General features: G+C 39.4%; 1 long non-coding RNA gene, 1 other non-coding gene and 1 pseudogene across 2 annotated transcripts; 1 reads left to right on the plus strand and 2 right to left on the minus strand.

Annotated features, from left to right (window-relative positions):
• Positions 1 to 4,296: 4,296 nt before the first annotated feature.
• On the minus strand, positions 4,297 to 4,403 carry MIR6074 (microRNA 6074). Its single transcript, NR_106722.1, has one exon. It is a non-coding gene; the product is annotated as a microRNA 6074 (primary transcript).
• A 3,998-nt stretch (positions 4,404 to 8,401) lies between these two features.
• Positions 8,402 to 11,743, minus strand: LINC02425 (long intergenic non-protein coding RNA 2425). The gene is made up of 3 exons (NR_146530.1): positions 11,638 to 11,743; positions 9,265 to 9,376; positions 8,402 to 8,559 (listed from the first exon to the last, which is right to left on the minus strand). It is a non-coding gene; the product is annotated as a long intergenic non-protein coding RNA 2425 (long non-coding RNA).
• RPL21P18 (ribosomal protein L21 pseudogene 18) lies at positions 17,872 to 18,421 on the plus strand (annotated as a pseudogene).

Genomic DNA, 25,300 nt, shown 5'->3' on the forward strand with positions numbered 1-25,300 from the left:
GAAACTAATGCTTGCGGAAGTTAATGATTTGTACCGTAGTCACTCGGTGAGTCGGAGATAGAGCAGATGTAAACCCCCAATCTCTGGACTCCCAGATCTGCGCATAAACTATCAAAAATACAAACCTTCTAGCCCTGAAATCTGCCCAGCCCTTTTTCTACTGTGTGGTCCCTGTCAACCTTCAACATTGTACTACACAGAAGGGATTTCTTTCCCCTTACACGGTTTCTAAGTCTTGGTTAGCTACATGACTGGGTTTCTGCATTTTTTCTTTTATTCTTTCATTCATTCTACAAATATTTATTGAATTTTTACTATGCACAAGGCACTGTTCTAGACGCTGGGAACACAGTGGTGAACAAGACAGAGATCTTGCTTTCCTCTAATGCTGATTCTGGGAGGGGCAGGCAGACAATGAACAACAAACAAGAAAATATCAGAATAAAAGTGTTAGACAGAAAACAGAGCAGAGTGATGGGATGGAAAGTAACAGCAGGAAATAACTTAGATTGAGTGGTCAAGAATGGCCTCTTAGGGGAGGAGATTTTGAGCTGAGACCTGAATGCCCCCAAAAAGCCAGCCACATGAAGATGGGAGAAAAGCAGATTTTTCAGTCAAAATACACACGTATAGATTTCCCAGTTACGCACTCTGTAACCTGTTTTTTCAGCTACTCAAGATAACTTATTAGATTGCCAGTGAATGAAAGTGTCATCCTATGAGGAATAAAGCAACACATTTTATTCTAAATTTTAAAGTTTCATTAGCAAGCTTTGATATTTTGACTATTAATTTTTATTAATCTGAAATTCCCTACTCATTTTACAACAGATTAAGACACAGCAGTCTTATCAGAGGTTAGTACACAAAGGAATTAAGAGGCTCACTGAAGAGCTCAAGGGCATGACAAATGTTTCATCCAGATTATGCTCAAATTCATCTGCACAATAGATACTACACATTATGTGGTCCACCACCGTCACTACCTTGCCCCATTTTATTCTAACCGGCCTCCCAGATCTCCAGCAAACAAGGTGATCCTTTCAAAAAGAAACTGCAATCATGTCTCTCCACCGCTAACCTCACTCTAAATTACAACATTCTGCAATTGTGGATTGTTATGGGCTGAATTACATCCCCCCAAAATTCAAACATTGAGGCCTGTATTAGTCTATTCTCACGCTGCTAATAAAGACATATCTGAGACTGGGTAATTTATAAAGTTAAGAGGTTTAATTGACTCACACTTCCACATGGCTGGGGAGGCCTCACAATCATGGAGGAAGGCGAGTGAGGAGCAAAGTTACATCTTAGGTGGCGGCCGGTAAGAGAGCTTGTATACGGGAACTCCCGTTTATAAAATCATCAGATCTCGTGAGACTTATTCACTATCACAAGAACAGGACGGGGGAAACCGCCCACATGATTCAATTATCTCCACCTGGCCCCGCCCTTGACACGTGGGGATTATTACAACTCAAGGTGAGATTTTTGGTGGGGACACAGCCAAACCATATCAAGGCCCTAAACCCTAACGTGACTATATTGGGAGATTAGGGCCTTTAAGGAGATAATTAAGGCTAAATGAGGTCAAAAGGGAGGGTTCCTATCCAATAGGACAAGTGTCTTTATGAAAAGAAGAGACACCAGAGATCTTTCTCTACATGCTCATAGAGAAAAGGTCGTGGGAAAACACAGCGAGAGGGTGGCCGTCTGAAAGTCAGAAAGAGCTGCCTCACTGGACATCAACTCCGATAGCACCTTATCTAGCACTTCTAGCCCCTAGAATTGCGGGAAAATAAATGTCTGTTGTTTAAGCCGCCCAGTCTGTTGCATTGTTATGGTCCCCTGGCAAACACATGCGTGGTTGTTGACCATCTACTCACCTCACTTTCCTCTGCCTCTCTCCTGCTTTGCTCCCCTCGCCCACTCATTCCAGACACGCTGGTGGCCCTGTTCCCTGTGCCTGAAGGATTCCTCCCAGAATACCCACGGGGATCTCCCTTTCTCCCTCTTCAGGGCTTTGCTCAAACGTCCCTTCCCAGCGAGACTTTCTCTCACCACCTGTATTTAAAATCATGAAACCTCCCCTCCTCCACAGCTCATTCCATTTCCCTCCTCTATTACTCTTCACGGTACTTATCCCCTGTCAATAAATAATAGCCACGTAATTTATTTATTTGGGTGCATTGTTTGCCTCCTCCCACTATGATATAAGCTCCATGAGGGCAGGGAGTGTTGCCGTCCTGTATCCTGTCAGATGAGGACAGAGTAGAGGAGTGTGCAAGTGTATATGGGAAAGAGAGAGAGACTGAGAGAGAGAGAGAGGGAAAGAGAGAGGGAAAAGATGACCAGTCAGATCAAGATTTTGCCCACTGGAGGCAGTTCTTTTGAGCTCTTTGACCCAAATTTACTAGATATGGACTTATAAATGCTAATAACATAACAAAAAATACTATAAATAGTTCACAGTGCAATGAGGAGGTACTATGCCCAATACCTGGCAGAGGGCCTGTTACAAAGGAGAGGTTCAGTGATTATTTTTTGAACCGAATGGTTATTGTCACCATGACCAGAATCTCCATAATCTAGTGACCTGCCCCCATTATTATCATCTGATTATGAGAAAGGGTTTCATCATTTGGAAATGTCACAGGTCATTGGGAGCAGTGTCTTATGTGCTGACAGTGACCAGCATAGTGCCTGACTTGTGGTAGACTCCCGGTAAATATTTGTGGAATTAATCGAATTTTTTTTTTTACATTTATCGGTTTAACATAAAAGAAATTGCAAAGAATCAGATGAAAAGATGCATAGGGCAAGGCATGTGGAAAGGGACACAGAGCTCCCATGCCTTGTCTGGGTGTGCCCCGTGCCAAGAACCTCCGCATGTTCAGTTATCCAGAAGTGCATCCGATCTCCGTCCTTTGCGGTTTTTACAGTGGCTTCATTACATAGGCATGATTGATTAAATAATTGGCTGTTGGTGATCAACTTGACTTTCAGTCCCTCTCTCCTTCCCAGAGGTTGAAGGGTGGGGCTGAAGTCCCAACCCTCTAATCCTGCCTTGGTCTTTCCTGTGACCAGCCCTCATCCTGAAGCCATCTAAAGGTTGCCAGTCACCAGTAATCTCATTAGCATTCAAAAACACACTTATTACTTTGGAGATTCCAAGGACTTTAGAAGCTGAATGCCAGGAAACAAGGACCCAATATATATCCCATAAAATAACAGTTCACTCCCTATCCTCCAACACAGATCCCTTACATTAAAAAAATGTACAACTCAAATGGTACTGGCAAATTATTGGAATCCCATTTAATCTTTAATAATTAGTCCAGTCCACTCTTATGTCATGTGAATATGTCTCTCAGAGCAAGGCCACTCAGGTTTGCAGCCTTCTCATTCAATCTTGTCAGGGTCCAAGAGCAAGAGTAGTCTCAGCAAACATAGAGCTTTACCCTTTCTGGCATCTGGCATAGTTGAGCTGAAAGACAATGTCATCTCTTGCTCTGAGCCTCTTTGGAAGTGTTGATATAATATTGGATTTCTCTTATTACATACCATTTATTCATTACTTTTTTATATGACCTTATTTGAAGATATTATTCATTTCTTTAACCTCATATACTATTTCTCCTTCTCTTCATTTATACCTAAACTTTTCCGCCTTTGCTAACATAGCAGAAAATCTGACAGGACAAAAATACGTAGACACTACTCCTTTAGATGTTAATTTTAAGTAACTTTTCAATACTGCCCATTATCCTAATATTCCTTTCAGTAAATAAGCTTTGCTTATTCTGCTTGGCTCTGAGCATAATGTTCAGATTGGTTCAAATAAAAAAAGCCACCATATTTTTATCCTTGGGAATAAGAAAACAGAATTTCTTACATGGTAGAAAGGAAAAACGTCACTACAAAATGTAATTATAGCATTTTACAATATGCATCGCACAAACTGTATAAAACACACAAAGTACATCTACTAAAACTTTGTTCTAAAACAATTTTTTAAGTGAGCTAGTTTTCAATGCAGTCGAGATTACTGAGTTAAAAAAAAGATTGAGAAGGATTGAGAAGGAGCTTTGCATAAACAAAAACTCTATCTGCAAATAATTATTCCTTAATCCTAAGAGCTGGGGTAGCTTTCCTTTGTTTATTAGCTTTTTTTTTTGTTTTTTAATGGAAGTGATTTTCTTAGAGTAGAAAGTTTAGTATCAGAATTGGCTGTGTTGTATATATGGTAGTCACTTTTCAGATATTTTCCTGTCTGTTGGTTTAGGGGCTCTTTCTCCACACCCACCCTCAAGGCTACCTCTATCTCCACCTAGCCTCTGAATATCTCCACCAAAGAGCAAATCAGTTGACTGAAGGTGAGTAAAAATTCCATGGGGTTGGTAGTTAAAACTATTGACCAGGCTGGGCATGGTGGCTCATGCCTGTAATCCCAGCACTTTGGGAGGCTGAGGCGGGCAGATCACCTGAGGTCAGGAGTTTGAGACCAGCCTGGCCAATATGGTAAAACCCTGTATCTACTAAAAATACAAAAAATAACTAGCTGGGCATGGTGGCGGGTGCCTGTAGTCCCAGCTACTCAGGAGACTGAAGCAGGAGAATCACTTGAACCTGGGAGGCGGAGGTTGCAGTGAGCCGAGATCACGCCACCGCACTCCAGCCTGGGCAACAGAGCGAGACTCCATCTAACAATAATAACAATAAAGCTATTGACCAAAATTTTTATGCTCTGAGATTTCTCTGTGAATTTGCATGAACCCGGGAGCCTAGCCCATTAAACTGACTACCTGAATTATATGACTATCTACATCTTTTCAGAGGGTAGAGTGATTTCTTCCTCAATCTAATAAAATTTATATTACTATATCCTTAACCCATAAGTGGGTATGTTGAGTACAACTTTAAAATATTTTTTTACTTTGAGAGATTACATGTTTAGGTTTTAATGTGTTTCTTGTTTTGTTTATTGTTTAGGCAAAGTCAAAAAACTAACCTTATCGGTCTGGCATTTGTTTAAATTTTTATTTGCACAGCAAACATTATTCAGCGCTGTGTTAGTATTAAAATATGAGAAACACCAGGACAAAAATACGTAGACACTCCTCCGTTAGATGTTAATTTTAAGCAGCAGAAAAAGCCAAATTCTGCGTTCAGTATGCAGAGAAATAAGGAAAAGAAGTAACAGAAAGAGGTTAATGTGGGCTGAGACCACTTGAGGGCATTTGAGCACCTTTGCATTCCATGCTAATAAAGTGACAGAAGTTAGAAAGTTGGCCTATCTTTGAAGATCAACGTATATATATAGATATATGAATAGAGGAGATACATTTTATATCTGCTCCAGAACTCATTTTGGATTTTTTTCAACATCCTTCCGACAACATCCTTCCGAAAGAGATCAAAGTTGAAACTATTAGTAAATAATAAAATTAAGTCAATAGGTTATTAAATACCACATCCAAGTTATCAAAAATTGAAGTACAGAGTAAAAAAGGAAAAAGTATACTACATACAATGAGATTATATGAGTCTCCAGACCCCCATTTCTGCAAAAAGCTCATCAAATATTCATAAATCTAAGTAACTTCCCAGTAGGACATCTCCCAAACAAAGTGTAGGTGAACACAGAAAGCTGAAATACATAAAAACAGAATTTGGGTGTCTACTTTGACTGTCTGGAATTTGTTAGGAAGCAGAAATGCCACCAAAATGGAAATTGCACACAGGGAAAAAAATCCCACTGTGCTTTTATCCAGCTAGGTTGGAAATGATGTAATAAATGCACCATAATTTATGTACATAAATGTGTGGGTAACTCATCCAGGGAGTGGCAAGTGCAGAATTTTAGTGGAAAAAAATAGTGTACATCAAAGAAATTTGACCAGCGGCCAACAACCATTAATCTCTTCATGAACTCTTAAATATATAGATGCCAAATAAAACTTGTCATTTTATTCCATCTCTCAAAGCAATACATTCTTATTTATGAAGTTATGAGAGAACATAACATTATACCTTATTTGACATACAACACACACAGAGCATACAGCAACCTTGAGAAGATTTCCTTCATAAAAATGAGAACATTGATAAATCAACAGCCATACACCTCAAGGATAATGGTTTAAGTCTGACCATAGTCCTCAAACTTAATGTGATTGTGATCTTCATTCATCTTTCCATAGTCAGCAGCCCACATCACAGAAACCACTGTATGTGATACATCACCACCAGCCAGCTTGCTAACCAGGACAGACTTCAAATAAAGATAGCGTTGAATTCTTTCAGATGTGGAGGCATGAGAGAAAATATCAGAATTAAAGTCAAATACTTTAAGTATCACACTAAAAGAAAACATTTGTGTAGCTGTCCAGAAAACCTATGAGTTGTTGGCTGTAGTTCCTACAGAACTATGGCATTCCGTGTGTGGACATTGTTAAGTGATAAACCTTTCCATTGATGTGGCTTTGCCAGAAGCCACTTAGCATGCTTTAAATTCATAGCTTGATAGGTTTCCATGGAGAGCTTCCTTTAAAGGTATTTCCTTCTTTGGATTTCTACAGTTCTGTATCTTATACACCTCAGCAATATAACATAATGTGTTACTTATTACTATTTTTGAAATGAATAACCAATATTTCCCACCTTGAAATATACTTCAGCAAAGTCTAGATCAAAACATTTCTGTTTATCGGGACATGGATTCAAGAAGTCTTGCAGATAATAATTTAAAATATACGCAAGTAATGGTAGAGTTATATGATTGTCTTTCCCACTGCAACCTCAATAAATATTTATAATGGAGTGTGTGTGGGGTGGGGTGTAGAGGGAGAGAGGGAGAAAAAAAAAGAGAGAGAGTCAGTCAGATCAATATTTTGCTACTTGAAAACATACAAATAGCCAGTAGGCTTATGAAAAATGCTCAACATCAGTAATTATCAGGGAAATGAAAATTAAAATGACAATGAGCTCCCATCTCATCCCTGTTAGAACAGCTATTATCAAAAAGACAAAAGATAAAAAATGTTGGCAAAGATGTAGAGAAAAGGGAACGCTTCTACACTGTTGGTAGAAATGTAAGTTAGTATAGCCATTGTGGAAAATAGTGTGGAGGCACCTCAAAAAAACAAAAATAGAATTTGCATATCATCCAGCAATCTCACTTCTGGGTATATACCCAAAGGAAGTGAAATCAGCACCTCAGAGTGATATCTGTGCCCTCATGTTCATTGCAGCAGTATTCACAATAGCCAAGATACGGAATAAACATAAATGTCCATCAACAGATGAATGAATTAAAAAATGTAGTGGAATACTATTCAACTTTTAAAAAGAAGAAAATTCTGTCATTTTCAATAACATGGATGAATTTGGAGAACATTGTGCTAAGTGAAATCAGCCAGGTGCAAAAAAAACAAATACCACAAGATCTCACTTATATGTGGAATCTGAAAAAATCAAACTCATGGACATAGAGGGTAGAATGGTGATTACCAGAGGCTGAGGGGCAGGGTGGGGAGAATAGAATGGGGAGATGTTGGTGAAAGGAGACAAAGTTTCAGTTATACAGGAGCAATAAGTTTCGAGATCTGTTACACAGCATGGTAACCAGTTAATAATGTATCACATGTTTCAAAATTGCTTTAAAAAGTAGATTGTAAATGTTCTCACTACATAAAAATGGTAACTATGTAAGGTGATAAAAATGTTAATTAGCTTGATATAATCATGCTACAATGTTTTTATATATCAAAACATCACATTGTACCCCATAAATATATACAATTATTATTTCTCAATTCAAAATAAAAATTTGAGTTAAGAAAAGATTTTACTCTGGCTGAACTTACAAATGTGAATGAAATAAAATAACAAAGAAAGAGTTCAAAGTACAATGAAGAGGTACTACTGCCCAGCACCTGGAAGAAGACCTCTCACAAAGTAGAAGTTCAACAAATACTTTTTAACAAAATAGTTGTTGTTAACATAAGCCATCATCTACATGATCTAATGACACCCTGCCAGTTACCATCATCCGATTACGAAAAAGATTTTCATCATATATAGAAACTTCCCAGGTCAGCAAGGGCAGGTCTTATGTGCTGACCCAGGCCTGCTCATAGCAACCAACCCTGCTGGTCTTGAGAAATGAATTTGCTCATCTTCTCCAAAATGGTCCAAAAGTTAATACCTTGTAAGAAATGTTATGAGATAAATAATTCTCGCCTGATGTTTCCATTTGCCCAGAGTCAGAGTACATAACCTAATCCCAAGACTCCTAAAACACATGAAAATTAGACCTGTAGTGAGACCACGAGGCATCAGAATCCACGATCGTCCTTCCAAGTTCAGACGATGCTGTAGCATCAACCCACACACAATGTTTGCTTTGTAGGTCTGTATTTTCCAGGAAGCAAAAGGAACAGGAAACCAACGAAATCAGCATCGTTGACCAATTATTCAGGGCTAGTCCTTGCTCTCTTTCTCTTGGTTAGTGGCTATTTCTGGCAGTTCCTAAAACCGAGGCAGCCAATGTCATCACTGTGGAAATATGGATTGTGAGTGGCACTTAGATAGCAACCAGCTGGGGGCTATATATTAACAAGTGCAAGAATGGGAGCAGAAACAGTGTACAGAGACCCAGAATGTGCCAAAAGATGGCAACTCACCCCCTGGGGTCCAAAACAGATCCAACTGAGAGACAGAGAGAATGATTGTCTTCTCCACAAAACTGCCTCTCACAGAGCACAGAACCCTTTAGATTTATGCATGTGTTTTGACAAAACTGGATGGTTTCTATCATCTAGGAACACTGGAAGGGTCCCATTGGGAGGCAAACAATTTAAATAGGTCAACTTTTTAAAAAATTTTATTATTATTATACTTTAAGTTTTAGGGTACGTGTGCACAACGTGCAGGTTTGTTACATATGTATACATGTGCCATGTTGGTGTGCTGCACCCAACTTTTAAGAAGTTTCAGCATCCCAAGGTGTCCAAAGTCACACACCAACACCAAACCTTTGTGCACCTGGATGCTACATGCCACCCAAAAAGGTCCCCTACTAATCTCTCACATTCTGTCCCAGCCTCTAATTCAGCCATCAGAGAGCCAGCTCCTCTCGCTGGCCACAATAAAGCCAATTCATGTCAGTTTATTGCTCTTCAATGGATGTTAGTTCCATTTTTTAATTACATGTTTATGTATGTGAATGCTTTCCATATTCACTACCCAGAATTTACTTACTCAGCAGTTTCTTAAGATTCCAAGCGTGCAGACCATTGAATTCACATGGTTTGATTACTGAGTAATTCTTAAAGTCTCTTTACTGGAGTGTGACATTTATCTAAAGTCAAATCTAGAAAGAAAAAAATATATGTGATGGTGATAAACTACTATTGAAACAGAATCCTAACATGAGATGTTAAACAATAGAGCATTGTAAATAATACCCTCCCCAAAAGGTTCTCTGTGATAGCCGCAGCTAAGGAAAACATATGATAACAATAATATGATTTCCATAACCCAACAGTCCTTTCACCACCTGTTCCATGTGGGGATGATATGCAATAGCTCTGCTCTGCATTTTTTTTTTGTTAAAAAATAAATTCTTTCTCACAAATAATAAATTTATAGCCAGGGAATTTCTTTATGACTTAAGCTTTCATTTCTTTAACTTACTGCTTTTAGGGACATAAATTCTATTAGCCTCTGTGTGGAAAGTTCGTTAGGGCAACTTGAGATCAGTGGGAATTGGTAAAAGTCTTATGGTTTAAGATGAAAACATGCAATTCACTTAGAGTCTTTTCAGTGCTCTACAATATTCCTGGCCATTTCAACCCAATATGTGAATTCAAACTACTTCAGTCAACATTAAATTAGGCAATAGTCTACATTAATTCATTACATTTAAGTAAAGAAAGATGAGCTGAAAAAAAAATAACATGGCATGCAAGAATGTGTATGTCATGTCAACCAGCTGAATATGCATTTCAGAATACCATACCCTTATTTACATTTTAGAAACGGTTTCATTCTTAAAACTATTTGTGTTAAAATCAATTCATTCTTCCAGTGCTTGAATACAAATAGGGCCCATATGATAACAGAGATAATCCATGTATATAGTTTATTTTACTTAAGCAAACACTTCAGTGATTTTTTAAAAATCAACACTGTCCAGGCAATTAAATGTTTTCTTTAAAAGAAATTATTTGAAAAATACTGGAATTTATCTTGTTGTCTGTACATCAATAGTAAGTTAATAACTTTGAACTTAAAAAATATAAACTGTTATCCCTTTCCTTTTGTTTAGAGACCTTTTCTTTATAGTCTACACTGGTACTATGCAAACGGTGTTCCCTGGACAGTGCTGGCCCTGGGTGGATTGGCACCACACTGCAATGAGTTGAGCAAAACTGTGAGTGAGCACTTAGAAACTTTTCTAGTCATCTGACATGAAATTTTTTTGTCTTTTTTTTTTTTTTTTTTTTTTTTGAGATGCAGTCTTGCTCTGTCACCCAGGCCAGAGTACAGTGGCATGATCTCTGCCCACTGCAACCTCGGCCTCCCAGGTTCAAGTGATTCTCCTGTCCCAGCCTTCTGAGTAGCTGGGACTACAGGCAGACACCCTCACGCCTGGCTAATTTTTGTATTTTTACTGGAGATGGGGTTTCACCATATTGGTCAGGCTGGTCTTGAACTCCTGACCTCAGGTGATCCACCTGCCTCGGCCTCCCAAAGTGCTGGGATTACAGGCGTGAGCCACTGTGCCTGGCCTGTCTTTTGAATCTGATATTAAATATGAGAGGCTTGCATTTTGTACGATTTGGGGTGTTTTTAAATTTAATTTTTCTAGAAATACATTTTTGTTACATTTGATTAAAACACCAGTTTGTGGCTGATTGGACACTTAAAAACTGGTCCTTTGCCACAGATAGTTTGAGAAGCTTGAGTCTAAACTATAAAGTGATCTGGATGGTCAGGTAACTGTTTTGTGAATTAAATGTACATCACACACACACACACACACACACACACACACATACACACACACACATTATCTATATAACAGAACAGCCAACTCAGCAGAAACAAAGCTCAAAGCTCTGTAAACTCATTTCCTCAGTATCTCCAGATGTGCCACAGCTGAGGGAGTGTTCAGAAATAGGAATGGTTTGATTACATGATTGAAGCGAATGGATTTGTTATGTCTTGATCCTTTTTCTTCCTTCCTTCCCCTCTCCTTTCCTTCTCCCTTCCTTCCTCTCCATCTCTTCCCTCCCTCCTCCCTTTCTTTCTTCCCTTCTTTCCTCCCTTCCTCTTTTCCTTCCTTCCCTCCCTTCTTTTCTTCTTTTTCCTTTCCTATATTATCTTATTCTCCGTCTCTAAAGAGAGAGTTAAACCAAGAGCCCACAATCACACACATCAACAAACTACATGAGTCAAATTCACTGAGGAAGAGGAAGGAGAAAAAGAGGTTAGGGATATATGGAGAAGGAAAACTATGGCTCAGAAATGCAGGTACATTAGGATCTAGAGACAAGTACCTATATCAAACAAAAGAAATATTGCTTTATGAATTCCCAGAGAATATATTTTTTTCTGAATTAAACTTACCTGTTATTAATATATTTTAATTCTCTAGAAAAGGAATTTTTAAATCTGAGTTTCTGAAGAACTCTTCTTGGTTGCTCCCCCATGAAAATCCAAAGGAATTTCTTCTAAAAGTCATAATGAACATTCCTTTAGATGTTTTGGGGAAGAGAACTGGTGAAGCCATTTCCCCTCTGCTCCCCCTTCACCCTAGCTGAAGTGTTGCAGACCACAGGACTTTGCTTGTGCCCAAATCATTTCGCCCAGACTCTGAAATATGGGTGGTTAAAAACAGGATGCCAAAACAACCATATTTCCTCCCCTCATGCTGCCTTTTTACATGTACTCAAGACAATGCAGATTTATTCTGCCTCACCTGTGTCTAATGTTAGACGCATGCCCCAGAATGTCGGAAAACTTTTGTGTTTCATTTTACAATAAAAGAAATGTACTACCCAAGCTCTCAAGAAAGCACAAAGAAATGAATCTGTATCCCTTAAGCTTTGCAATTCATTTTTCTTCTTTGTTGGTTCTCGAAACTGAATTCCCTGGGTTGGGGTTTTATACTACAATTTTATCTTCTACACTTTTCTTTACTTCCCCCTTCACTCTACCCCCGCTATCCCCCCACTCCCTAGGGGCTTTGGCTTCAAATCAAAACAGCTTTCAAGTGGCCAGGACCAAGTTCCAAATCTTCTATGTTTCCTACAGATTTTCCTTCTTTCCCAGATTTTTCTAAGCCCCACTCTTTGTAGGAAGGCATGCACCTCCAGATAGGGTCCTGACTGTAAGCATTGTGCTTGGGCCCCCATCCCAACTGCAGAAGTTTATTTGAAGTATGTTACTCTTTGCCTGCTTCTTAACTTGAGGCCCAATAGTCTTACAATGTCATTTTTTTCCCCTACTGTAAATCAAGGGACAGCTGTCTTTGGACTAAATTCCAAATAGTTGGTCTGGAAATGAACTTCTCAGTGGGTCCCTCCTCTATTCTGGCTGACATTTCCCCATTAATTTCTTTTTCTCTTTCATCCATTCATTGGCTGATGAGTCTATAAATACACCTCATCTGCTTTTACTTTGCTTTTTAAGAATAAACTGATACCAAACACACTGTCTTAATTACATCCACAGGCAAAGCATAACGAGTTTAAATGTTGTCACAATATAGTTTAAAAACTTGACATGGTTCATTATGCCAGCTGTGATAAAACTGGGAAATGAAAACCTTAATTTGGATGTGTAAATGAGTAATTCATCTGAAAAGGTATTTTTAACATTAATAAATGAGAATACCTAGAAACCTACTAAGCAAAGGAAGGGAGTTGAACAGGAAACCGATAAGTAGATTGGTAAAGAAGCAAGGAAACCCGGCCTCCATTCCTCTTGGGCACAACACCTCTAAAATTAGGCAAGTCAGCCCTCCCAAATTCAGACCAGACCTGGGAGAACATTGTTCCTCATTCTGTTCTTGAGCATTCACATTATGAGGTGGCTGCTGATTCATGAGGATCTGAATTCTAGGTGCACATCAGGAAGGAAGGCTCAGGAAAATTCTGATTTATGCCCAGAAGACAGTAGGTTTTGGAAAACTCTACTTTTAAGATGAAAACAAGATTAAAGGGAAGGATAAGGTAACACTCATACGTTCTTGATATAAAATTACTTCTTTTAAAACCTTTGGTTCTGATGATATGGCTGATAACTTTCCAATAGCAGTAGCCCACTGGGATAAATTAACATTCTGAATTTTGTGAAGCAATCTTTGTTTTCCTGAGGTATTTTCACACAAACACATTCTTAACTGATGGAGAGCAATGGAGAAATAAATATTCATTTTTGAATGGGAAATAAAAGTCAATGGCAAGTTTCTCAGGTAGGAAACTACTATAATCTCCCAGTTTTCACACATAAAAAGCCTCAAGAAAATAGCAGTTAATGTACGTTGAGTCATATGTGAAAACTGATAGACATATCAAAAAAGTTTTAAATGAGTCAAAAGAAGAAAAGGCTTACAGATGGCCAGATGGCTTTGACATTGATGGAGTAGTATAAGAAGAGTGATGATCAGATGTTTTACCGTTTCTATGAGAATCATTCAAAATAAATGTGATTAAACTGTAGAAAAATCAATTTTGGCAATGTATAAGAAGTTGCAGACTCTAGCTGGAACCCATTCATCACCAGATGAGTTTATTAAAGGATACTGTGGAAGAATCCTTTTCTGGGTTTTCTTTTTTTTTTTTAGACACAAAGTCTTGCTCTGTCACCTATGCTAGAGTACAATGGTGCAATCTTAGCTCACGGCAGCTTTGAACTCCAGGGCTCAAGTGATCCTCCTGCCTCAGCCTCCCAAAGCTCTGGGATTACAAGCATAAGCCACCATGCCCAGCCAAGAATCTAGTTTTTTTAAAAAAAGCTCAGGGAACAGCATGTTAATACTAACTCTGTGCTAGGCATTTTCACATAAATATCTTACTGACTCTTTGCAGCAACTCAGCAATAGGCATTAACTCTGTGCAACAAGACGTACAGATAATCTCCAATTGTCATGCATTCAACTTCCATATATCATGTGTGGACAGCTATACACTGCTTACTACATACTAAAACCACGCTTTTATACATCAGTTTTGATGAATAAACTTTTTGAGGGCCCTGGTGGCTGCTGGCTGGCTAATAATTCAGTTTGACAGCCTTGCTTCTAGACAGACAATGCTGTGGATTCACCAAACCATTTAGTTTCTCCCCTGGGCACATGGAAAAACTACATCTCCCAGTCATTTTGCATCTAGATGGCATATTGTGACAATTGATGGCCAATGAAGTGTAAGAAAGTGTCAAGTGTGTACTTCTAGCCCTGGCCCTTAAAAAGACCCATGAGAGGCCGGCATGGTGGCTCACACCTGTAATCCCAGCACTTTGGGAGGCTGAGGTGAGCGGATCCTTTGAGCCCAGGAGTTCAAGACCAGCCTGGGCAATGTGACAAAACCCCATCTTTACAAAAAATACAAAAATTAGCCAGGCATGGTGGCATGCACTTGCAGTCCCAGCTACTGGGGAGGCTGAGGTGGGAGGATTTCTTGAGTACAGGAGATGGAGGCTGCAGTGAGCCCTGATTGTGCCATTGCACTCTAGCTTGGGTGACAGAGTCAGACCCTGTCTCAAAAGGAAGAAGAAGAAGAAGAAGGAGGAGGAGGAGGAGGATACGGGGAGGGGGAGGGAGAGGGAAGAGGAGGAAGGGGATGGGGAGGGGATGTGAGAATCCCTCTCTTTGCTCATTGGCTGCTGAATAAAGCAGACCCAGCACAGGCCTCCCAGGGAGGCTCTGATGGATAACAGAGTCTCTGAGGGAAGATGCCAGGACACCTGAGTCTGGCAACTTAAAGAAGAGCTGCCCAAGCAAGATCAGCCCCAGTGGACTCTCTCTCTCTCATTATCTATCTCTCTCTCTCTCTATCTCTCTATCTATCTATCTATCTATCTATCTATCTATCTATCTATCTATCATCTCTCTATCTCTCTATCTATCTATCTAATCTATAGATTAGAGACAGGGTCTTCCTCTGCTGCCCAGGCTGGAGTACAGTGGCATGGTCATGGTTCACTGCAGCCTCTACCTCCTGGCCTCAAGTGATCCTCCCACCTCAGCCTCAAGTAGCAGGGACTACAGGTGTGTGCCACCATGGCTGGGAAATGTTTTAATTTTTTGTAGAGACAGGGTCTTGCTATGTTGTCCAGGCTGGCCTTGAACTCCTGGACTCAAGTGATCCTCCTGCCTCAGCCTCCCAAAGTCCACTGGACTGGACTTTTTATGAGAAAAAAAATTAAACTAAATCAGTGAAATTTGGAATTTGTTTGTAACAACAGTAATTAACAATAACTACCCTTATGAAATAACTTCTATGAATTCAGTGATCCAAACAAAGATTAATATTGGTGCAATTATTTGAATATTTTACTGTAATTTGTCATAATTTTTCTATTAAAAATTATGAAAATAGAATAATAAAGGTTTAAATACTAGTAACAGGAGTATCATGAACTTAATATAATACAGAAAAGAATAATAATTATTAGACATATTAAAAGTGATGTCTCTAACCTCAGCCAGGCGCTCACTTAAGCATGTTGACTACACATTCGGTTACAAAGAAAAATAAAATTAGAGAATGTGTGGGAGATGCTAGAATTCTAATCATTCAACTATTGTGTCTAAAAAGCAAGACTTATATCAAAACAGGATCCCTTGCCCCTTTTATATTAAATCCATTGTTTCACTATCTTACAATCAACTTGCAGGCATGTTTTCAGGATCAAAAGACAAAAGTGTCCTTTTTCTTATTTTTAAATATAAGAATATTAAAAATCAGAAAAGTTGAACAATTCCCCCAAAGTCTTGTTAATAAATAATAGAATTAAGATGCATTTCAAGATTGGCATCAGCCTAAAGCCTTATTCTTTTCATTATACCTCACTGCCTCTCATCTCTGTAAAAAATTAGGATGTCTGCCTGTCTTTGAAGAACAAAATATGTAAAATGAATGATCTTACAGCGCCCCCTTTGAGCACTTTGATTCTATGATAAAGACATTTCCATCATTTCCTGATGTTGTGAATGCAGGAGGCTCATGAAAAATGTCCCTTTACTACAAAGGTTGGCAAGTGCTCAAAGATATGGCTTTAGTCAGCTATGCCATGCTGTCTTTACTAAACAGCATTATTTCTAGGAAGAATTTCTATTACTTTAAAGTGGAAAATAAAGTTACAACAACATTAAAGAGTATGTTACAGTTCCACGCTCTATTCTGTTGGCAGAAAGCTTGGTCTCTGCACCAGCATTCTGCCCCAACTGGCCATGTCTCAGGAGAAAAGAATTCCTCTCATCTCTCTACAGCAGCCTTTTCTGCTTAACTTAGACCCCCACCAAAGCCGGGTGATGAATACAAAAGGTTTCTAAAGAGAGAAATGGCAAGGAGAGAGCTTGGAGACACCGTACCTCTTGAAAAGAAGAAAAAATAAGTAAATAGTTTATTATCATCATGGGCCTTGGAATGACATCATAAGACCATCCTTTGTCACCTCTGCCATTTCAAAGCCAATGCGTATGAGCTATTTTAACTGAAAAAATTATTTTTCATTGACTATCCAACAACTTTGACTTTATACAGTATTTTGAGAACCCATTTTTATAATAACTCAGTTCCACAGACTTTTGGACTCATTCGAAAGTGCATGTAGTGGTCAGACTTTTGCTTGTGAGTGATATCAGTGTGAAAATAAGCTTTAATAAAGTTGCCAGCATCCATGGACCTCTGTACCCATAACAACTTCCATGGCTTCAGTTCTGCCAAAGGTTTTGCTTGACGGGTATTTCCTATGAAGCTTCTCCTGCTTTCCCACCCATAGCACTGTTCTATGGCCCACACGGGGCCAGAAGCAGCCACTAGGAGAAATTATTGGTCAGGCAACCCTCCAGTGCCGCAAGCCCGGCCCTCCCTCTTCATGTCCCTGAGCTGTGTCCAAAAATAGAAAATGAGACATGATGATGGATTGAGAGTAGGAAGAAGGGAGGGATCTCGGGGTGAGTGTTTAAGTCAACACAATGGAATTCCACCAGCAAAGGCTTGCTGCATAAATCACTCTTGAGAGAAAGTTGGGCACACTGGGAAGTGTGTTGGGGCTTCCAGGCAAGTGGTGGATGGGCACTATCAGGAGGCACACCCAGAAAGAGGTGGTGCAGTGTGGAACAGGACTTCTCAAACTTGAATGTGCCCATGAATAACCTGGAGATCTTGCTGAAATGCAGGTTCTGACTCAGTTGTCTGGGGTGAGGCCTGAGATACTACCTTTCTAGTAAACTTTCAGTTGACAATACTTTGAGGAGCAAGGATGTAGAAAGTAAGAACACAAAGTCCGATTTCAGAACCTATGAGCTGTGAAACCTTGAGCTTCAGTGTTTTTATCTGTGAAATGGAGATTGTTTTAAGTACTCTTGTATCAGATTATTGTGAGCATTAAGTGACATGATGTCATTTACCTGGGACATAATAAAGAATTCAATATGTTGATCGCCATCAATATTTTATTTTTACTCATTTGAGCATTGGGGCAGCTTCCAAAACATTGATCTGTCGATTTGATTTTTTAATGGTGAGACGAGGTGCGCAGAATGAAGTGAAGTCCAGGGTGGAGGGATAGGAGTAGGTGGAGGAAGTGGGAAGAAAAGTAAGCCTGGGAAGGAATAAAAAGAAAGATCCCCCTTTCGGCCGGAACCACCATCTTCCAGTAATTCACCAAAATGACGAATACAAAGGGAAAGAAGACAGGCACCCAATATATGTTCTCTAGGCCTTTTAGAAAACATGGAGTTGTTCCTTTGGCCACATATATGCGAATCTATAAGAAAGGTGATATTGTAGATGTAAGAGAATGGGTACTTTTCAAAAAGGAATGCCCCACAAGTGTCACCATGGCAAAACTGGAAGAGTCTACAGTTACCCAGCATGCTGTTGGCATTGTTGTAAACAAACAAGTTAAGGGCAAGATTCTTGTCAAGAGAATTAACGTGCATATTGAGCACATTAAGCACTCTAAAAGCCGAGATGGCTTCCTGAAACGCGAGAAGGAAAATGATCAGAAAAAGAAAGAAGACAAAGAGAAAGGTACCTGGGTTCGACTGAAGCCCCAGTCTGCTCCACCCAGAGAAGCACACTTTGTGAGAACCAATGGGAAGGAGCCTGAGCTGCTGGAAACTATTCCCTATGAATTCATGGCATAATAGGTGTTTAAAAAAAAAAAAAAAAGACCTGTAAGGACTGTAAGAAAAAAAAAAGAAAGATCCCTACCTATACCTTCATCATTCATGTTCAGACAGAAAATTTCCCAGTGACAGATGCATCGCTGTGAAATTACATTAAGAGAGGTATTCCTAGGGAAGCTGCGGGACATGCTTTGTGGTTTCTTCATCTATTACGAAAATAAAGGCACTGAAGTAAGGCTGTAGCTACCAAAGTACCACATTGCTTTAACACACATGTGACTCTTACAGAACTTTTTTACATTAGGGATAATAGCATAAACTTATCAACTGAATTAAACAAAGTAAACCAAATTATTTTTGATGCAAATACAGAGTACTCCACCAAAATTTTGGTCAAAGTGCTTAACTCTTAAACCTTTCTCCAGTGCTCTGAGATTACGAGGGGCACAAGTGAAGAATACCTAAAATTGTAATTGCACCCTAGTGGCCCAACAGCTGACTATAGTCCATGGAGTTTTGGGTTTTGGTTGATTTAAATTAATTGCTACATTTAAATAAAGGAAGAGTTTGGCTCAATTCCCTCCCAGCAACTAGAAGCTGAAGTTGAGTAATGGATACTCCTTTTAAATGAGACATGCACTCTACAGTTTGCGACTGTTTCCACTATTCCTTATAAGCATACACAGACTTTACTCATTTACCTTATCAATCTAAGCCTGTGTAGAGAGTTGAGTTTGTCACTCCTGACCTAAGAAGAGGTGGTAAAGAAGCATGGGATTTCTTCCTAGAAGGATGAATAAATGCAAAAGAGATGAAAAATGAGGGGAAACCCCATTTTTAAAATATTTACTCACATATTTACCATTTAAGTGCTCTTCATCTCTTTCTGTAGGTCCAAATTCCCATCTAGTATCATTTTCTTTCTGCTAAAAGAACATTTAACATTTCTTAACGATCACACGCCTTTTATTGACCTGAAAAAAATTTTATTTTGCCTTTATCTTTTAAAAAAATCTTCAGTAGGTATAGAATTCCAGGCTGGCAGATTTTTGTTTTTCTCCAGCACTTAAAAGATGACCTTCCATTGTCTTTAGGCCTGCATGGTTTATGACGAGAAGCCTGCTATAATTCTCAAGTTTATATCTCTGTACATAACGTATCTTTTTCTCCCTGGCTGTGATTTAGATTTTCTTTTTGGCATTAATTTCAGAAATTTAACTATGATGTGCCTTAGTGTGATTTTTTTATATTACTGCTGTTCGGAGTTTGTTGAGCCTTTTGAATCTATGAGTTTACATTTTTAATAAAATTTGTATAATTTTCAGCCACTTCTTCAAATAGTGTTTCTGTTTCACCCACATCACATTTGTAAGACTCCAGTTACACATATGTTGCATGGCTTTATAAGATCCCAGAGTTCACTGGGGCTCTCTGTATGTGTGAGTTTGCTTTTAGTCTTTTTTGTTCTTTTTTTTTTTTTTTTTTTTTGAGATGGAGTCTCACTTGGTCACCCAGGCTGGAGTGCAGTGGCACAATCTCGGCTCACTGCAAACTCCACCTCCCATATTTAAACAATTCTCCTCCTCAGTTTCCCAAATAGCTGAAATTACAGGCACCAACCACCATGCCTGGCTAATTTTTGTATTTTTAGTAGAGATGGGGTTTCTCTATGTTGGCCAGGCTAGTCTCAAACTCCTGACCTCAAGTGATCCACCCTCCTCAGCTCCCAAAGTGCTGGGATTACAGGCATGAGCCACCGTGCCTGGCCTTTTTTTTTTTTTCCAACCTGTGATTCATTTTGGATAGTTACTATTGCTATGTCTTCAGGTACAGTGACTTTTTCTTCTGCATCATATAAGATGCTGGTAATCCTATCCAGCTTATTTTTTATTTCATATTTCCATCTCTATAAGTTTCATTTGGGTCTTTTTAATATGTTTTACTCCCTATTCATAGTGTTTATGTTCTCTTTTACATCCTTAAACATAGGATAAACTTTGTTAAGGTCCTTGCCTACTAATTCCATTATCTCTGTCATTTCTTGATCTATTTCTACTGATTAATTTCTCTCTTGTTATAAATCACATTTTTACACTTTCTGGTATATCTACAAATTACTATTTGAATTACAGATATCGTTAATTTTATTTTATTGGGTGCTGGATTGTGTTCTCTTCTTTAAAGAACATTGGATTTCGTGGCAGATCAGTTTGATTCATGAAAGGCTCATTTTTACATTTTGTATGGTGGTTCCAGAGCAGCTTTTATTATAGGACTAATTTACTCCACTACTAAGGCATGGCACATCTGAGGACTTCACCCAATGCACTATGTATTTTGAGGTTTCTCCACTCAGGCTGGTAGAAACACGAAGTATTCCCGGTCCTCTGTAAGCTCTAGGTATTGTTCAGCCTGTGCTTTCAGGGAGTTCTTCACCGCAGTCTTCATAGTGTCTTCACGAGCACATGCAGATCAATAAAACTCATCCAAAGACATGGGGTAAGTGCTCTGCAGATCTCCAGAGCTTCCTTTCTATCTAGTTTCCTCTTTCTGGTAAACTCCCCTGCAAATTCTAGCCTCCTCAGTCTCCCCAGACTTTAAACTCTGTCTCTTCAACTTAGCAAGACCACTAGGCTGTTTTGGTTATTCCACCATGGGTAGTATCCTGGAAACTGCCTCCAGGTATAAGGTGTGGCAATCACAGGGCTCATCCCATTTATTTTCCTACTCACAGGGATTAAAATCTTGTTGTCCGATGTCTGACGTTTTGTCTCATTTCTAACTGTTTAAAATGGGAAGACAATTGCTGTAGCAGTTAATCATTGATGGTCAGCAGCAGAAGTTAGTGTAGTTGCTAGAAAACCAAGGCAAGGAGAGCATTTCAGGCAGGGCAGGGATGATCACATAAGCCAAGGCAAATAGGTGAGAAACAGTAATTATGAGTATCAGAAAACAGCAATTTGGTGTTGCTGCACCACAAAGCTAAGGCTGGAAGGGACTGGAAAAATATGAGGCTGATGCCGGCATCCAGGGCCAGAATTTGAGGCTTCTGGGGTTATGTGATTAAGAACTATGGAATAGGAAGAAAAACAATAGTCAAAGAATTAGGAGACCTGGGTTCAGATTCTAGTTTATTATTAGCCATGTAACTTTGAACAACTCTTTTGTGCTTTAGTTTTCTCATTCGTAAAATAAGAAACCTTCCTTAGTTTTTGCCCAAGACTATATTTCAAGGTAAAATTTTCATAACTGAGTTCAGTGGAGGTGGGGGGACCCTTTGGGCTGGGGTCTTCAGAGAAAATAGGTTTCTAATACCAAGTATTTACTGGATACCTGCTACATGCCAAGATGTGTGCCCAGAGCTTTAAATACATGGTTTAGTCCCTACAATGACGCCCCCCGCCCGCCACTCATCCCACAGATCAGCCAACAGAGAGGTTAATAGTTTGTCAAAGGTCACATGACTAAAAAGTGATGGTAACAAGATCTGAACTCAAGTCTGAGTAATTATATTTTGCTGCTCCTATCTTGGGCCAGATATCACTATGTCTTTAAAGCTCCTTGGGTAATTCTAATGTGCATCCAGGGTTAACAGTCACTGACTAGAAAGGTTAAAAGCAGGTTTGAGACAACAACCTTAATAATTGAACAAGTAACACCTTGAATAATGCCTCCCCTCCCTAATTAAGTCAATTTGCACACACAGTGATTGTACCTATACTCCAGCCCAACCCCTATAAAGAGCTGGAGAATGGGTGGGTGACTCTTTGATTTTCTGGAACAGGATGTCTTCAAGAGGTGACCTCCTCATAGAGCGAGTGGTCAGTTGTACTATCTAATCTTCTTTGTGCTTTTTGCAACAGTACAGATTGACTAAGAATATATTAATATTTATTAATTTGGGGGCAAATTGATGCCACATTTTATGCAATTTAATTTTCGGAGCATAATGATGTTATTATAATAACATTTTACTGTAACAATAGCAATTGAAACCCTACTAGGGTCCATGTACTGTGCTGAGCACCTGTATTATTTCAGTTAATTCTCACAACAACCTCATGAAGTAGTTGCAGCTATTGTTCCTGTTTTACAGAAAACTGAGACTCTAAGTTACACAGTGAGGAGTGCAGAAGTGAGCCCAGCCAGTATGGCCCCCCAGCCAAAGTTCCTAGCCCTTCACTGTGTCGCTGCACTTCTTATAGTGGCTACCGGAGGGAGGAAGAAGGCATTTTGTTTTTCTTTTTCAGTTACAAATAGTGAAACAAGAACAATCAAAGGGGCTAAATAATGTCCTATCATCCTTTTAAAACATAGACTAGAACAAAAAATGAAACTCTTGATTCCCTGAGACTAAAACCTTTACATTCTTCTGGTCTCTTGTATGTGAAACCTCATTTTTGGCACACGGGTCATTGCTCAAAAGCAATGCGTGCCTTTATCTTTTTGATCTGTGTGTGGTCTCACTAATGTACGTGTGTTAGGGCCGTGCCACAAATCTGGCACCCCCTTCACTAGTAACGATTTTACTACGCAGACCACGTTAACGTGAAAAACCTGGAACAAAGAGAAACTCTGACTAGCAGCATTGTTTTCATGGGGAAATGGGCTACATGATATTTCACCCATTGATAGGAAAAACAGTTTTAAAACATTTTCTTTTTAGGGTGAGAATTGCCAATGTCTAAATCAAAGATGAATACTTAAAAGATCTAGGGACATGAGAAGCCAATAATAGCTTGGATGATAATACAGAAGCCTCCATTCAAATATCCTGGAAACTTGCACCCAGTTTTAAGCAAATGAGCACAAGTGTGTCTCTGATTGAGACCAAATGTTTTGGAACGCAATTTTACCTTAGACAAGTCTTGGTTATTCAACAGATAATAGGTTTTGGCGAACTTCTCTACGGGACAAATAGACATTTTTCCAACAGCATGTAAAGTGACTTTTTCACACTTCTAGGAGAAAAAGGTACGGGAAGAAGTGCCTTGCTGATTAGGAAACCTTAGTAGCCTCCGATCATAAATTTTGCCCACCAGCAACATTGGCAGTGACAACAGCGTGCATAAGAAAAATGCGTAGATGACTCCATTGTTTCATTTAGATTGTTAGTTTTAACTTCTCTCAAGCAAAAAACAACTCTTTGATTGAGCTTACTATGAAGTATGAAAATTAACATAAATATAATTCCACACACACTCCCAGCTCTAAAGAGGCGTTTATAAAGACAGCAGAAAAGCAAGCCAGATCAAACATAATAGCAAATTGGATAGTAGCCTGGAATTAACAGTGGATTGATGAATCAACCTCACATTTTTATCATTTTTCACTTAAGAAGCTTTGATCCAGTGTAAAGATTATTTATTCTCTCAAACCCTGTGCATAGTGAGTGCTGCCCTGGGGTATATTCAGTATCAGAATTATTGTGGAAGAGATTTCCCCACTGGGCAGGAGTTTGGACTAAATGATTCTAGATGTTGGGTAGAACATGCTGAATTTGTAGATAACAGGTCTGTTCAAGGCCTGAGGAAATCGTGCAGCCAACCTCGAGCCATTGAAACACTTCCAACAAAGCTTCTGAAGTAAAAACATTGAGTAGCTCCCAGGTTTGTTCCAGTAAACATTGGCCATGTTGGGGACAGGTGGGTAATGGAGTCTAAACATCCCTGGACACTGTGCCGCAGATTCTTTCAGTGTTCTCTGTGGTCTGCCAGTGAAGGCTAAGTTCTTGGACTCCATGCATAAAATGTGGGGTCACTTTGCTCCAACATTAATGAAGCGGTGTCATTTGTCTGGGGTAAATACCCAAGATTCATTGTCTGATGGCCACGGAAAACTAGGACGGATACGTACACACACAGAGTGAGGTTCAGAGTGGAAGTTTAATATGCAAAAGAAAGAGAAGAGCTCTCTCTGCTGCAGAAAGAGAGGTCCTGGAAAAACAGGTTGCCCCTTCCGTAGTGAAATGCAGAAGGTTTTATTGATGAGCTTGAGGAGGCCGTGTCTGACTTACATAGGGCACAAAAGATTGGTCGGACCAGGTGTGCCATTTACATAGTGCACAAAGAAGTGGACCGCCGCACCCTAATCTTTTATTATGCAGATGGGTTATCTACCTGGCCGGTGCCATGTTGCCTGGTTCTTTACTGCACAGGTGGTGACAAAGAAAAGGGAAGATGAAGACTCCATGCTGAACATACCTGGCTTCCAGGTAGCCCTACTTTGTTGGCACAGATGCTGGCATTTACCTGTGCAAGCTTCCAGCTTGCTTATCTATGTCCGCAGCTCAATTTTTCAGGCTGCTCTTTGTTAGAAAAGAAATGATTTGGGGGTTGCTTTGTGTTAAAAGGGAAGCCTTGCCAAGGACTCTCTTACCCTCACTATCTGCCTAAATAATTTATTTCTATTTCCTGTATCATTAACACATATTAATTTATATCCAGTCAATATATACTTTTGCAAAAAACACAAAGACTAGATAGTACAACTGACCACTGGCTGAACTAAGAAGGTCCTTGAGGAGGTCACTTTTTGAATGTATCCTCTTCCAGAAAATTGAAGCATTACCCACCCGTTCTGGAGGCTTGGCTGTAATATAGAAATAATCACAGTGTGTCCAAATTGGTGTCCCTTTGGCAACTCAAATCTGTAAGTCCAGGTTTCCTACCCAACAGGTAGGAGGTCTTTGCTGGGTCTTTAACCTGTGGGGGCTGAGGCAAAGTGGTAACCATCTGCAGCAGAACAACAAGATGCTTCTGGCCCCAGGAAAGACATTCCAACAACTGCTGGGCAGGCCCTTGCCTGTATCATTTTAACAGCCATACTCCCATAAGGGTGTTTCTCAGCCCATACTGGAGAATCAAAGAGGATGTGATCTCAGCTGAAGCCTGACAGCAGGACTGAATCCATTGAATTTCTTGCATT

This window comes from Homo sapiens, chromosome 12, assembly GCF_000001405.40.
Source record: "Homo sapiens chromosome 12, GRCh38.p14 Primary Assembly".
In the NCBI taxonomy this organism is placed as follows: domain Eukaryota; kingdom Metazoa; phylum Chordata; class Mammalia; order Primates; family Hominidae; genus Homo; species Homo sapiens.